Below are 15,184 nucleotides of genomic sequence, written 5' to 3' on the forward strand. Positions count from 1 at the left end.
CGTGGTGGCATGCACCTGTAGTCCCAGCTATTCGGGAGGCGGAGGCAGAAGAATCACTTGAACCTGGGAGGCGGGGGTTGCAGTGAGCCAAGATCGCGCCACTGCACTCCAGCCTGGGCGACAGAGTGGGACTTCATCTCAAAAAAAAAAAGTTACTGTTTGGAAGATCAGTGGACCAATATTCACATACTCTGCATTCAGATGACCAGTGCAGGGTATTATGAAATAATACATGAGTAAAAGATCCATTATAAGTGCAAGGAACACAGATTTCTTCTTTTTTTTATTTTAATTTTTTTGTTTTTAATTTTTTTTTAAATTCTTGTCAACAGGAAGTCATCTTCTCATTTGTATATGAACCTTTTGGATGCCCTCATTATGATATGCCTACCTGTTATGTGTCTTTTTATTATTATTATTTATTTTTTTTTTTTTTGGAGACACAGTCTTGCTCTGTCTCTAAGGCTGGAGTGCAGTGGTGAGATCTCGACTCACTGCAACCTCCGCCTCCTGGGTTCAAGTGATTCTTGTGCCTCAGCCTTCGGAGTAGCTGGGACTACAGGCACAAGCCACCACACCTGGCTAATTTTTTTGTATTTTTAATAGAGACAGGGTTTCACCATGTTGGCCAGGCTGGTCTCGAGCGCCTGACCTCAGATGATCCGCCCACCTCCGCCTCCCAAAGTGCTGGGATTACAGGTGTGAGCCACCGCGCCCGGCCTGTCTATTAAGTCTTTTACCCATTTTTTAATTAGATATCTGCCTTTCTGTAATTGATTTGTAGGGGTTATTTATATGTTCATCTCTTTTTTTCCTGTTTTTTTCTCATAGTCTTTTGTTTATCTCCGTGGCAAATATCTTCACCCATTCTGTGGCTTGTCTTTTGTTTTGTTTTGTTTTTTTGAGATGGAGTTTCACTCTTGTTGCCCAGGCTAGAGTGCAGTGGTGTGATCTCAGCTCACTGCAACCTCCGCCTCCCGGGTTCAAGCGATTCTCCTGCCTCAGCCTCCTGAGTAGCTGGGATGTAGGCACACTCCACCACGCCCAGCTAATTTTTGTATTTTTGGTAGAGATGGGGTTTCACCATGTTGGCCAGGCTGGTCTCGAACTCCTGACCTCAGATGATCCACCCATCTCGGCCTCCCAAAGTGCTGGGATTACAGACGTGAGTCACCGCACCTGGCTGTTTTTATTATTTTTATGATACTCACATTTTAAAATTATTTATTGACATATAATACACATGCAGAAAGATGCACAAGTCAGAGGTGTGAAGCTCAGTGAATTCTCACACAATGAACACATCCATGTTAGCTTCACTTGATCAAGAAACAAAATATTGTCATCAGCCCAGAAGGCCCCTCCCTCCCCCTACCTACTTACCTCCTTCCCAAAGGTCAGCACTATCCTGTTTTCTAACAGCATAGATTCGTCTTTGCATTTTTGGATTTTATCCAAATGGAATAATGTAGTGTATATATCTTGTATCTGGTTTCTCTCAGCTTATGTTTTTGAGATTCATACATGTCATTATTTGGAGTTTTATCTTCATTCTTGTTGTTGAAAATTGCATGGCCAGGCACAGTGGCTCACACCTGTAATGCCAGCACTCTGGGTGGTCGAGACGGGCAGATCCTTTGAGCCCAGGAGGTCGAGACCAGCCTGGGCAACATGGCAAAACCTTGTCTCTACAAAAAATACAAAATTAGCTGGGTGTGGTGGTACACACCTGAAGTTCCAGCTACTTGGAGGGCTGAGGCAGGAGAATTGCTTCAGCCCGGGAGGTCAAGGCTGCAGTGAGCTGTGTTCGTGCCACTGCACTACAACCTGAGCAACAGAGCAAGACCCTGTCTCAAAAAAAAAAAAGAAAGAAAATTGCATGATAGGAATAGACTATGGTGTGTTTGTCCAGTCCATTCTATTGTTGACAGAGTTTTTCCAGTTTTTGGTTATTTGAATAATGATGCCATGAATATATTATTGTATTTGATGTCTTTTTGATGAACATAAATTCTTTTAGTATATTCACTCATATCAATATTTTCCTTTGTGATTGGTTCTTCCTTGTTTCTATTTAAGATATACTTCCCCTACATCAAAAATCATGAAGGTATTCTTCTCATAGAGCTTCTAAAAGCTGTATAGCTTTGCCTTTTATATTTAAGTATTTAAAATCATTTGGAATAGTCTTGATATCTGATAGAACAAATCTCCTCACTTTGTTTTTTAGATTTGGGGAAAGGTTTTTTTTCCTTCAAAAGCATTATAGCTGTTGGTCTTTTGTACTTTTTGTATATATTGGTCTTTTGTACTTTTTGTATACATTTTAAATTCTGTCAACTTCCATCAAAACAAACCAACCCAAAAAACTTACTGGTGTCTTATTGGGTTTATACTGATTGTTAAGTCGGTTTGGGGAGGATAGAGATCGTATAAAAGGCAAAGCTATACGGCTTTTAGAAGCTCTGAGAAGAATACCTTCATGATCTTGATATAGGGGAAGTATGTCTTAAAGTGATTCTATCCTTAGAAAATTGGGCCTTCCAACCTTTGAACATGATATATCTGTTTCATTTGTTTAGGTCTTCTGTAATATGTCTTCATAAATTTTATAATTTTCTCTGGAAAGAACATTTTTTTCAACTTATTTCTAGGTGCCTCCTATTTTTTATCCTATTAAAAAGCTTTTTTTTTTTTTGTTTGATAGTTTATGCTGCAGAAAAAATTTTTTTAAAAAAGAATGTAGGCCAGGCGCGGTGGCTCACACCTGTAATCCTCGTACTTTTGGAGGCCGAGGCAGGTGGATTGCCTGAGACCAGGAGTTCAAGATCAGCCTGGGCAACGTGGTAAAACCCCGTCTCTACTAAAATACAAAAAAAAAGAAAAAAAAAAGCCAGGTGTGGCAGCATGCTCCTGTAGTCCCAGCTACTCTGGAGGCTGAGACAGGAGAACTGCTTGAACTCAGGAGGCGGAGGTTGCAGTGAGCCAAGATTGTGCCACTGCACTCCAGCCTGGCTACAGAGCAAGACTCCATCTCAAAAAAAAAAAAAAAGAGGCCGGGTGCGGTGGCTCACGCCTGTAATCCCAGCATTTTGGGAGGCTGAGGCGGGTGGATCACCAGGTCAGGAGTTCGAGACCAGCCTGGCCAACATGGTGAAACCCCGTCTCTACTAAAAATACAAAAATTACCTGGGCGCGGTGGTAGATGCCTGTAATCCTAGCTCCTTAGAAGGCTGAGGCAGAGAATTGCTTGAACCCAGGAGGCAGAAGTTGCAGTGAGCCAAGATCACACCACTGCACTCCAGCCTGGGCGACAGAGTGAGACTCCGTCTCAAAAAAAAAAAAAAAAAAAGGTAAGGCCAGGTGTGGTGGCTCATGCCTGTAATCCTAGCACTTTGGGAGGCCAAGTCGGGTGGATCAGGAGTTTGAGGTCAGGAGTTCGAGACCAGCCTGACCAACATGGAGAAACCCCGTCTCTACTAAAAATACAAAATTAGCCGGGCGTGGTGTTGCATGCCTATAATCCCAGCTACTCAGGAGGCTGAGGCAGGAGAATCACTTGAACCCAGGAGGCGGAGGTTGTGATGAGCCACGATCGTGCCATTGCACTTCAGCCTGGGCAACAAGAGCGAAACTCCATCTCAAAAAAAAAAAAAAAAAGAATGTAAAGGGAGCCGGGTGCAGTGGCTCACCCTAGCACTTTTGGAGGCTGAGGTGGGAGGACCACTTGAGCTCAGGAGTTCAAGACCAGCCTGGGCAACACAGTGAGACTTTATCTTTTTTTTTTTTTTTTTTAATTTTGGAAAAAAGAATGAAGACAGTATCTTTTTGTTGTTTTTTCTGTTTGCTGGTATAAGTAATACAGTTGTTGGTTGTTTTGTTTTGTTTTGTTTTGTTTTGTTTTAAGACGGAGTCTTGCTCTGTCGCCCAGGCTGGAGTGCAATGGCCTGATCTCGGCTCACTGCAACCTCCAACTCCCGGGTTCAAGTAATTCTCCTGCCTCTCAGCCTCCTGAGTAGCTGGGATTACAGGCATGCACCGCAATGCCCCGCTAATTTTTGTATTTTTTAGTCGAGGAGGGGTTTCGCCATGTTGGCCAGGCTGGTCTCAGGTGATCTGCCCGCCTCGGCCTCCCACTGTGCTGGGATTATAGGCGTGAGCCACCGCGCCCAGCCTTGATTTTGAAACAAAAACTTTGTATCATCCAGCAACCTTGCTAAACTCTTCTATTAACTTAAATAATTTATCTGTACCATCTTTTAGATCAGCTAACTATGTAATCATATCATCTGAGATTAATGACAATTTTACTTCTTTTTTTTTCCAGCCCTCATTTTATTTCTTTTTCTGACATTACTCCTGACAGCTGACATGATGTGGAATAGAAGTGTAGTAATCGGGGGCTGTCCTTGTTCTTGATTTCAAAGAGAGGGAAGGCTTTCAGCATTTCCCCAATAAGTGTGTTTGCAGAAGGCTTTTAAAATGTGGATACCCTTTATCAGGTTAAAGAAGGTCCTTCTACTCCTTGTTGACTAAAAGTTCTAACCACAATTGGTATGATTTTTATCAAATACTTTTTCTACATCCATTAGATTATTCTGATTTTTCTTCTTTAATCTATATTGTGCTAACTCATATTAATTCATTCTCTAATGTTAAACCTAACTTGCACTCATGAAATAAATCCAACAAGATTATGATTTCTATTATGCTTTCAATATATTGCTGGATTCCATTTGCTAACATTTTGCTTAGGACTTTGACATTCATGTTCAGAAATGAGATTGACTTCTAACTTTTCCTTATCGTGATACCCATGTGTTGCTTTTTCTCTTCTCAGGAAGACTTTATGTGAGATTGTCTTCCTTGAAAGTTTGATTGAAAGCATCTGTAATGCCATTTGGGCCTTGAGCTTGGGTTTCTGGGTTTCGCTTTAAGGAAAGATTTTTGACTACTGATTATTTAGGTTTTCTGTTTTAACTTCTGCATTGTAGGTAGTGATTCCTTCTTGTCATCTTTGAGAATGATTATTTTATGCCTTCTCTTTTGTTTTCATGGTTGGTTTTACCAGAGGCTTGTCGATTGTATTAGCTTTTTCAAAGAACCAGTTTTGTCTTTGTTAATTCTTCTTCTTATATTAATATATTCATTTCTTGTTTCATTAATTTCTATTTTTATCTGTATTATTTCCTTTCTACTTTTATATTTTTGCTGTTTTTGACTTGACAGATGTTTATTTCATTAACTTCTTTTCTATTATGTTAATTGTAAAATTCCCCTTCAAGTACTACTTTATATGTATCTCAGAGTTCTTATAAATAGTATTTTTCATCAGTCATTAAAGTTCAAAATATTTTCTAATATCTGATAGGCGTTCTTGTTTTGGTTTTTTTTTTTTCTTTTTTAGTCAGTCTTGCTCTGTCACCCAGGCTGGAGTGTAGTGATGTCATCATGGCTCACTGCAGCCTTGGCCTCCTATGCTCAAGTGATCCTCACCCTTCAACCTCCCAAGTAGCTGGGACTACAGGCACATGCCACCATGCCCAGCTAACAACTTTTTTTTTCCTTTTTTTTCTTTTATGAGACAGGGTTTCACTCCCGTTGCCCAGGCTGGTATGCTCTCCCAGCCTCAAGCAGTCCTCCTGCCTCAGCCTCCTGAGTAGCTGGGACTAAGGCCACGCCTGGCTAATTTTTGTACTTTTAGTAGAGACAGGGTTTCACTATGTTGCACAGGCTGGTCTTGAACTCCTGACCTCAAGTGATCCACCTGCCTTGACTTCCCAAAGTGCTGGGATTACAGGCATGAGCCACCATACCCAGCCCTTTTTTTTTTTTTTTTTTTTTTTTCTTGAGACAGGGTCTCAGTCTGTCACACAGGCTAGAGTCCAGTGGTGTGATCCTAGCTCACTGCAGTCTCTTAAGTCTTGGGCTCAAGCAGTCCTCCCACCTCCACCTCCCAGGTAGCTGGGATTGCAGGCATGCACCACCATCATGCCTGGCTAATGTTTTTTTATTTTTAGTAGAGACAAGATCTCATTATGTTGCCCAGGCTGGTCTCGATCTTCTAAGCTCAAGCAATCCTCCTGCTTCGGCCTCCCAAAGTTCGGGGATTATAGGAGTGAGCCACTGTGCCTGGCCTTTTGTTTGTTTGTTTTTAATTTTTTGTAGAGATGGGATCTCTCCATGTTGCACAGGCTGGTCTCTAACTCTTGGGTTCAAGGGATCCTCTTGCCTTGGCCTCCCAAAGCATTTGGGTTAGAGGAATGAGCCTCCATACCTGGCCGTGTTTCTTAATTTCCAAACATAAAGGGAAATGTTTACATTTCTGGTTTGCATTTTAAATGGAATTCTAGGTTAATTACCTTGTGGTCAGAATACCTGCTGTCAATGATTTCAATCCTTTGAAATGTGTGAAAGTTAGCAATAAAATGGTCACACGGTTTTGTAACCTGCCTTTTATACTTTGCAACATTGTTGCTTTGGGATTTATTTTTAATTGCCCAGTTCGCTACAAATCCTGAATGGAAATAATTTTGCCTAAAATTCAAAATGATTGACTTTTCGTTTTGGGTTTTTGTTTTGTTTTGTGTTTGGTTTTGTTTTGTTTTTGAGATGGAGTCTCGCTCTGTCGCCCAGGCTAAAGTGCAGTGGCGTGATCTCGGCTCACTGCAACCTCCGTCTCCCAGGTTCAACTGATTCTCTTGCCTCAGCCTTCCAAGTAGCTGGGACTACAGACACACGTCACCATGCCTGGCTAATTTCTGTATTTTTAGCAGAGACGGGGTTTCACTATGTTGGCCAGGCTGGTCTCAAACTCCTGACCTCGTGATCTACCCACCTCAGCCTCCCAAAGTTCTAGGATTTCAGATGTGAGCCACCACGTCCGGCCATGACTGACTTTTTTAATTTGTCAGCATAAAACAGTGAATAAAAATTCTCCAGTGGAAAGTGTACTTGATTTTCCCTTTGACCCGAAATAGCTGCATCATTGCTTTCAGCCCTGCATTGCTGAAATAGATCACCACATGTTTATTCGCTCAAACAGGTCTGTCTTGTTTGGTTATATTACTTTAGCCAAGGTCAGCTACGTTTTTATTAAGCTGGTAAGTAAAGAAAGCCCATCTATTTGCATTGAGAACACTGCATAAAATCTAGCTGATTCTTGGTTTTTCTCTAGGCCCGAGGTATGAAGAAGCAAATCATTGACGACTTCATCACCCGAAACAAATATCTATTGGCAGCCAGGCTCACCAGCCAGAAGTTGTTCCATGAACTCTGCCCTGTGAAACGGTCGCATCGACAGAGGAAGTAAGGACTTAAGGCTTTGCCTCTGCTTGTTATTACAATAGAAGGATCATGATTCATTTTACTATAGGGTGACTAGACATCTGCCCTGTAACATTGAGAACTTATTCTTCATTTAACAAATACTGGGCCGGGCATGGTGGCTCATGCCTGTAATCCCAGCACTTTGGGAGGCCGAGGAGGGCGGATCATCTGAGGTCCGGAGTTCAAGACCAGCCTGACCAACATGGAGAAACCCCATCTCTACTAAAAATACAAAATTAGCCGGGCATGGTGGCTTATGCCTGTAATCCCAGCTACTAGGGAGGCTGAGGCAGGAGAATCACTTGAACCTGGGAGGCAGAGGTTGCGGTGAGCCGAGATCATGCCATTGCACTCCAGCCTGGGCAACAAGAGTGAAACTCTGTCTCAAAAAAAAAAAAAAAAAAAACACTGATTAGTGACTGTGATGGTAATCATACTAATATGATGTATTAGTCCAGGGCACTTTAGCACCAAATTGTCAGATGTGCCAGCCTGTCCTAGTGGTCAGAGAAGATTTCCCTAAGATGTAACATTTCAGCTGAGACCTGAAGGATGAGCACAGTTTAGCCAGGCGTCTGGGATAGACTGGGTCACTTTACAGAAGCACAGAATATGGAAGAGTGACTGTCCCTACTAAAGCATTCCACACAGGGTGAGTCTTTGGAGGTCTTGGGAAGGAGCAAGGATAACAATTAAACAGTAGGGAAGTACAGAGTATTGAGGAAATGGATTGGTGGGAATCGGGAAGGCTAAGTTACATGTATTCAATAAAGTAGGAAGAGTTATTATACAAAGTATCTAAAAAGTCTAGAAATTCAGGGAATGTATTCATTACACCTTCTCAGGTGAATGAATCAGTAGCTTTAAATTTAGGGCTGTTTCATCTGTAAAAGGTATCTGGATATGGAAGGAAAACATATCAATCATGTAACTTGAAAATATAAAACATAATTTCCCTGTGTGTCTAGGCTTTTCAGATTCCTTTATAGTCTTAAGAGCGAAGAAAAAAATGACTTAAATATAAAAAAAGAATATCCTGGACTGTAAGGATTGTTGTTTACACAGCCTTCAAAAAATATCCCAAATCCACACACTTCTCACTTTTTTTAACCACTGCCACCCTGGAACAAGCCACCATCGTCTCCCAGCGAGACCCCCCTGGCAGCCTTCTAACTAGTCTCTCTGCTCCATTCCACTCTTGTACCCTCCAGGCAGATGTCCACACGTCAGCCAATAATGTTTGAAAATGCAAATCAGATCCAGTCACTCCCCATCCTGGGGTCTTTGCACTTGTAGTCTCTCTACCTGGGATGCTCTGACCCCATTTCCTGTCATAACAATGTCACCTTTTCAGTTGGCACTTCCCTGACCAACCTGTCTGATGGAGCCTGGCTTCTACCCACTCTGGCCTCTCTCTGTCCCCTTTTCATCTTTTTTTTTTTTTTTAATATATAGCACTTGTTGATACCTGTCATAATATATCTGTTTTCTGTCTTCCCCACTGGAATATAAGCTCCATGAGGGCAATAATATTGTCTATATTACCTGACATATACTAAGTGCTCAGTAAATATTTTTGGGAGAATGAATAGCTAAACTTTCCATTGGAACCTTGCAAAGGAAGCCGTTCAGAATGAGGCTCAGTGGCCTCTGGCCTGAGAGAGATTTGACCAGCCCTCCCTATACTGGAAGAACTAGGACAAATAGTTTCTAAAAGGCCCTGCCGGCCAGGAACAGTGGCTCACGCCTATAATCCCAGCACTTTGGGGGGCTGAGGCAGGCGGATCACTTGAGGTCAGGAGTTTGAGACCAGCCTGGCCAACATAGTGAAAACCCGTCTCTACTAAAAATACAAAAACTAGTTGGGTGAGGTGGTGCACGCCTATAATCCCAGCTACTTGGGAGGCTGAGGCAGGAGAATGGTTTGAACTCAGGAGGCGGAGTTACAGTGAGCCGAGATCACACCACTACACTCTCCAGCCTGGGCGACAGAGCAAGACTCCATCTCAAAAAATAAAATGAAAGGCCCTGCTGCATCAGAGATTCAGTGACCAACCCCTTAAATTCCTGGCAGGCACGATGGCTCATGCCAGTAATCCCAACACTTTGGGAGCCTGAGGTAGGAGGATTGTCTGAGGCCAGGAGTTCAAGACCAGCCTGGGCAATATAAACAAAACTATATATATATAGTTTTCATATATATAAAATTTCATATATATAAAATTTTAAAATTCGTAAATGTGGTAAAGAAGTTTGGTTTGGGAAAAACATCACAGATTGGGAAGAGAAACAGTTTGTTAATGACTTGGAAATCCTCCCTTAGTTGAAATGTCAGCTTTCACTGGGCACAGTGTATTCACTTCCATAAGATGAGCTCCTCGTCTTCTTCACCTTCACTTGCCATTATAGGTGCTGGCCCTGCCATCAGGGATTGGTTATAAAGTTTTGTCTTTTTGTTGTGCAGGTACTGTGTGGTTTTATTGACTGCTGAGACTACCAAGTTGAGCAAACCCTTTGAGGCTTTCCTGTCCTTTGCCCTGGCAAACACTCAAGACACAGTGAGATTTGTGCATGTCTACAGCAATCGGCAGCAGGAGTTTGCCGACACCTTACTACCAGACAGTGAGGCGTTTCAAGGGAAATCAGCGGTAAGCCACAGAGTCTCTCCTCATCCCAGGCTCTTCATAACCATGTGGCACTTGATTCTGTTTCCTTCTTCCTTGAGAGTGTTGAATACAGATTCTAGGAAATCTGAAACTCTGAAGCCTATTTTCAAAGTCTACTCTTTTGTTTTTCCTTTTTCTTGATTTTTTTTTTTTTCTTTTGAGACAGGGTCTCACTCTGTCTCCCAGGCTGGGAGTGCAGTGACATGATCTCAGCTCATTACAGCCTCGACCTCCCAGGCTCAAGTGATCCTCCCACCTCAGCCTCCCACATAGCTGGGACCACAGGCACACACAACCACGCCTGGCTAATTTTTTGTATTTTTTTGTAGAGATAGGGTTTCGACATGTTGCCCAGGTTGGTCTCAAACTCCCGAGCTCAGGCAATCCTCCCGCCTCCCAAAGTGCTGGGATTACAGGCATGAGCCACTGCTCCTGGCCTAAAGCCTACTCTTAAAACAGTTTTTGACCTGGTCTTTTTACATTCTGGATGTCAGCCTCAGGCCCCCACAGAAACCATGTTTTCTATCAGTGAACGGTAAAGGTCATCAGTGCTTTTCACCAGTTTTTTACTAAGGCAAGTCTGGTCTTGCAGCATCCTAGATCCTAGATTTTACAAATCCTTAGGCCACTGGTAATGTGCTCTGGAAATTTCTGCCCCCCTCTGCCTCTTTAACTTCATCCTGGTTGATCTCTCCTGCCTTTCTCCTGCATTGTCATCACTTCCTACAGAAACAAGAAATTCTCCTCTGACTTTTCATCATTTTCGCAATCATGGAAAATCTCTCTAAAAAACAAAGGTTTCCATTAATATTAAGTCAAGGTTATAGAGCAAAGTCTATTGAGAAAAAAGAGCTTTAACTTTTAACAAAAGCTTAGGAAAGTCACCATAAAAGTTATTTCTTAGGCCGAACGCGGTGGCTCACACCTATAATCCCAGCACTTTGGGAGGCCGAGGCGGGTGGATCACTTGAGGCTAGGAGTTTGAGACCAGCCTAATCAACATGGTGAAACCTCATCTCTACTAAAAATACAAAAATTAGCTGGTGTGGTGCACACCTGTCTGTAGTCCCAACTACTCAGCAGGCTGAGGCACGAGAATTGCTTGAACCTGGGAGGCAGAGGTTGCAGTGAGCCAAGATCGCACCATTGCACTCCAGCCTGGGAGACAAGGGCGAAACTCTGTCTCAAAAAACAAACAACTGGGCCAAGTGTGGTGGCTCACAGCTGTAATCCCAGCACTTTGGGAGGCCAAGGCAGGCAGATCACGAGGTCAGGAGATCGAGACCATCCTGGCTAGCATGGTGAAACCCCATCTCTACTAAAAAAAAAAAAAAAAAAAAAAAAAAATACCAAAAATTAGCCAGGCATGGTGGCAGGTGCCTCTAGTCCCAGCCACTTGGGAAGGCTGAGCCAGGAGAATGGCGTGAACCCGGGAGGCGGAGCTTGCAGTGAGCCAAGATCACGCCACTGCACTCCAGCCTGGGCGACAAAGCAAGACTCCGTCAAAAAAAAAAAAAAAAGCAAACAACTGTAACTTAACCATGCTTTTGAAACTTCTGATGTTTTTTCTCTACTTTTCTTCCAGGTGTCTATTTTAGAAAGGCGCAACACAGCAGGAAGGGTGGTGTATAAAACCCTGGAAGACCCTTGGATTGGGAGTGAGAGTGACAAATTTATCCTCTTGGGCTATCTCGACCAGCTGCGTAAAGATCCAGCTCTTCTGTCCTCTGAAGCAGTGCTTCCTGACCTGACCGATGAACTTGCCCCTGTGAGCATCGGGGCTGGGAAGGGTGGGACACCAGGAGGGCTTGTGAGTACACAGTGCTGGTGGCGGATTTCTGCTCAGAGCAGAGGTCCAGCAGCAGCACTGTGTTGCAGGGTAGAGGGACTCTCCCTTCCGGCTTTAGTCCTGACCATCATCCATTTTCTCTCTACATAGGTTTTTCTCCTTCGATGGTTCTACTCTGCTTCTGACTACATCTCAGACTGCTGGGATAGCATTTTTCACAACAACTGGTAGGGATATTGCCAGGCTGAATTTCTTTTTCTCTGTTAATACTGATATCACTGTTTTTCTTTTGAAAAGAGTTCATCATTATTAAATTTCAAGGTACACTTGATGGGGCAAGTGGAAGAACGTTTACACATTTTCTATTCCCCTTTTTCTTTCTTTCAGTAACTTCCCTTTTTTTTATTTTTTACTTTTTTTTTTTTTGAGACAAAGTCTTGCTCTTGTCCCCCAGGCTCAATCTGGGGATCACTGCAACCTCCGCCTCCCAGGTTCAAGCAATTCTCCTGCCTCAGCCTCCTGAGTAGCTGGGATTACAGGCACCTGTCACCATGCCTGGCTAATTTTTGTATTTTTAGTAGAGATAGGGTTTCACCATGTTGGTCAGGCTGGTCTCAAACTCCTGACCTCAGGTGATCCACCCGCCTCGGCCTCCCAAAGTGCTGGGCTTACAGGTGTGAACCACTGCTCCCGGACATTTTTTATTTTTTATTTTTTTTTGAGACAGAGTCTCACTCTGTCACTCAGACTGGAATGCAGTGGCACGATCTCAGCTCACTGCAACCTCTGCCTCCCAGGTTCAAGCGATTCTCCTGTCTCAGCCTCCCGAGAAGCTGAGATTACAGGCACCCACCACCATGCCCAGCTAATTTTTGTATGTTTAGTAGAGACAGTGTTTCACCATGTTGGTAAGGCTGGTCTCGAACTCCTGACCTCAGGTGATCCACCCACCTCAGCCTCCCAAAGTGCTGGGATTACAGGCGTGTGCCACCATGCCCGGCCACTTCCCTTTTTTTATATTGGCTGACTGACCCTTTCCCACTGGCTAGGAAAGGATCACCCATGGCTGCCATTCTGGGCAGCAGAGCCTGGGACTGTCTCTTCATCAGGGAACCTCTGGTGCCCAGCACAGGGCCTGACACACGTGGAGTCCAGTGTATAGATGTAAAAGGAATGAGTGAATTAACCTCAAGAGGGATACCCACTCCCACCTACTGATGAGACCATGAGCCCCTGAAGGACAGAACCACATCTCATTCGTGTTTGTGATTCCTGGCACCCAACACAGCACCTGACAAATGACAGCCTTTGATGGGTGTTGGTAGGTACATAAAATTTCAGAACACCAGTCCTAGATGAAATCTTGAAAGATCAATTTTATCTCCCTACTCCACCCCTCTGGGCTACATCTGAATTTTTCTGGCCAGAAAAAAATCAGTAAAGTTGAGGAAATAATTCCACAATGTCAGAAAATTCTTCCATGTTTACACCTTAAGTCCTTTATTATCCCTTTTATTGTTTCCTCATGCAGAACTTATTGAGCATAGCCTATTATACTGAGATACAAAATCAAACTTTTAGAATAAGCTGTCTGTGAATTAGAACACTGAGCAATCTCTACCTTCCCCTCCACCACCTCCACCCGCCAAGAAAAGCTCTGTTTGCCTGAAATTAGTAAGCGTTTATTGGTGTGAAGAGTTTTTGGTTTGGGATTTTTATTTTATCTTTTTTTAGCTGGAGAGAAGAAATTTTAACTTGAGCTAATAGTTTGTTAATTTGGTTTTAGGAGGGAAATGATGCCCCTGCTGTCCCTGATCTTCTCTGCCCTCTTCATCCTCTTCGGCACTGTCATCGTTCAGGCTTTCAGGTAAATGTCCTGTGGCTTCTCGGTGCACCACCATGGTTGGTGTTGACACTTTTTTTGTAAAACTCCTTTTTTCTTACTTTAGCGACTCTAATGATGAGCGAGAGTCAAGCCCTCCAGAAAAAGAGGAAGCCCAAGAGAAGACTGGGAAAACTGAGCCAAGCTTCACCAAAGAAAACAGCAGGTTTCTCTAACAAAACACCAGACTCACCTCCCCGGCACCTGCCCCCCAGATCCTGTCATCTGATAACGCAGCATTGGAACATAGAGTGTAGAGAAGAACTCTCATGCACCTCCTCCCATGTAAACTGTGGCTACAGGGAAAAGTCACTGTGATTTGTGTTTACTAAGACCCTGTAGGTGTTTAGATGCCTTAGATTTCATAATGAAGGCAGAAGGAAAGAAGCCTATCAGGCAAGTGTTAGGTGAGCCAGAAGCAGGACGTGGTTTATCCCTGTAAATGTCAATGAACGTAACCAGTCTTGTGCGCACACACACCCAGCAGCAAGAGGCCAGGGTCTCCGAGACAAAGAACATAGACTGAATGATAGTTGTCTTCTTCATTCTGTCCTAGAGCAACTTCTGCACCTGAAAAGCAGCATCAAGCAGGGCACAGTGGCTCACGCCTGTAATCCCAAGACTTTTAGGAGGCCTAGGTGGGAGGATTGCTTGAGCCCAGGGTTTGAGACTAGCTTAGGCAACATGGCAAGACCCTGTCTCTACAAAAAACTTATAAAATTAGCTGGATGTGGTGGCAGGCACCTGTAGTCCCAGCTACTTGGGAGGCTGAGGTAGGAGGATCACTTGAGCCCAGGAGGTCGAGGCTGCAGTGAGCCATGATCATGTCGCTGCACTCAAGCCTGGAAAACAGAGCAAGAACCTATCTCAAAAAGAAAAAGAAAAGCAGCACAGAAAGGCTGTTTGTAGGTCAGGGATTACCAAGTCAGGCCATCCCCATCCTACCAATGTGTTAGACTCAAGAATAGTGAATAACATACCTAGTCTGGTTAGAACATAGCATTTTCTTTCAGCTGTTTCTTTTCAAAGTAACGGCTTTCCCCCTATCCTGACAGCATCTTAACTCCTCAATATTTCTCCACAGCAAGATTCCTAAAAAAGGCTTTGTGGAGGTAACTGAACTCACAGATGTAACATACACCAGTAACTTGGTACGTCTGAGGCCAGGCCACATGAATGTGGTCCTCATCCTGTCGAATTCTACCAAGACCAGCCTACTACAGAAATTTGCTTTGGAGGTCTACACATTTACTGGGTAAGCATGTGTGTGTGTGCATGTATGTATGTGTGTGAGAGAGAGAGAGGCAGGCACACTGAAATTGCACGCTTTTCTCTTTGGTCTTGTGGGGCTTCATCCATACAGCAAGATGCTGGCTGTGACCTTTCCAATCCAGACATCTGAGCCATTGCGACAGGGACCTCTTTTCCCACTTCACTTCGTGTTTTGTTGGTTCTGAACAGAAAAGCTTGAACTCAGTGTTATTCCCTGAGCCCTTTCAGTTACTGTTCTCTAGCCCT

At 43.5% G+C, this 15,184-nt stretch overlaps 1 protein-coding gene across 3 annotated transcripts in view; it reads left to right on the forward strand.

The window, feature by feature from the left end:
* Window positions 1-15,184, forward strand: part of DNAJC16 (DnaJ heat shock protein family (Hsp40) member C16) — a 44,886-nt gene that overhangs the window by 25,501 nt on the left and 4,201 nt on the right. For 2 of the 3 annotated variants that reach the window (NM_015291.4, NM_001287811.2), the window contains 7 exons: window positions 7,178-7,308; window positions 9,794-9,977; window positions 11,581-11,763; window positions 11,935-12,011; window positions 13,571-13,651; window positions 13,734-13,832; window positions 14,751-14,921. In NM_015291.4, the coding sequence (NP_056106.1) occupies window positions 7,178-7,308; window positions 9,794-9,977; window positions 11,581-11,763; window positions 11,935-12,011; window positions 13,571-13,651; window positions 13,734-13,832; window positions 14,751-14,921 (926 nt within the window). Of the gene's footprint in view, window positions 1-7,177; window positions 7,309-9,793; window positions 9,978-11,580; window positions 11,764-11,934; window positions 12,012-13,570; window positions 13,652-13,733; window positions 14,063-14,750; window positions 14,922-15,184 lie in introns of all 3 variants that reach the window. The other variant, NR_109898.2, reaches the window with a different exon arrangement.

This window comes from Homo sapiens, chromosome 1 (genome assembly GCF_000001405.40).
Source record: "Homo sapiens chromosome 1, GRCh38.p14 Primary Assembly".
NCBI classification, from domain to species: Eukaryota; Metazoa; Chordata; class Mammalia; order Primates; family Hominidae; genus Homo; species Homo sapiens.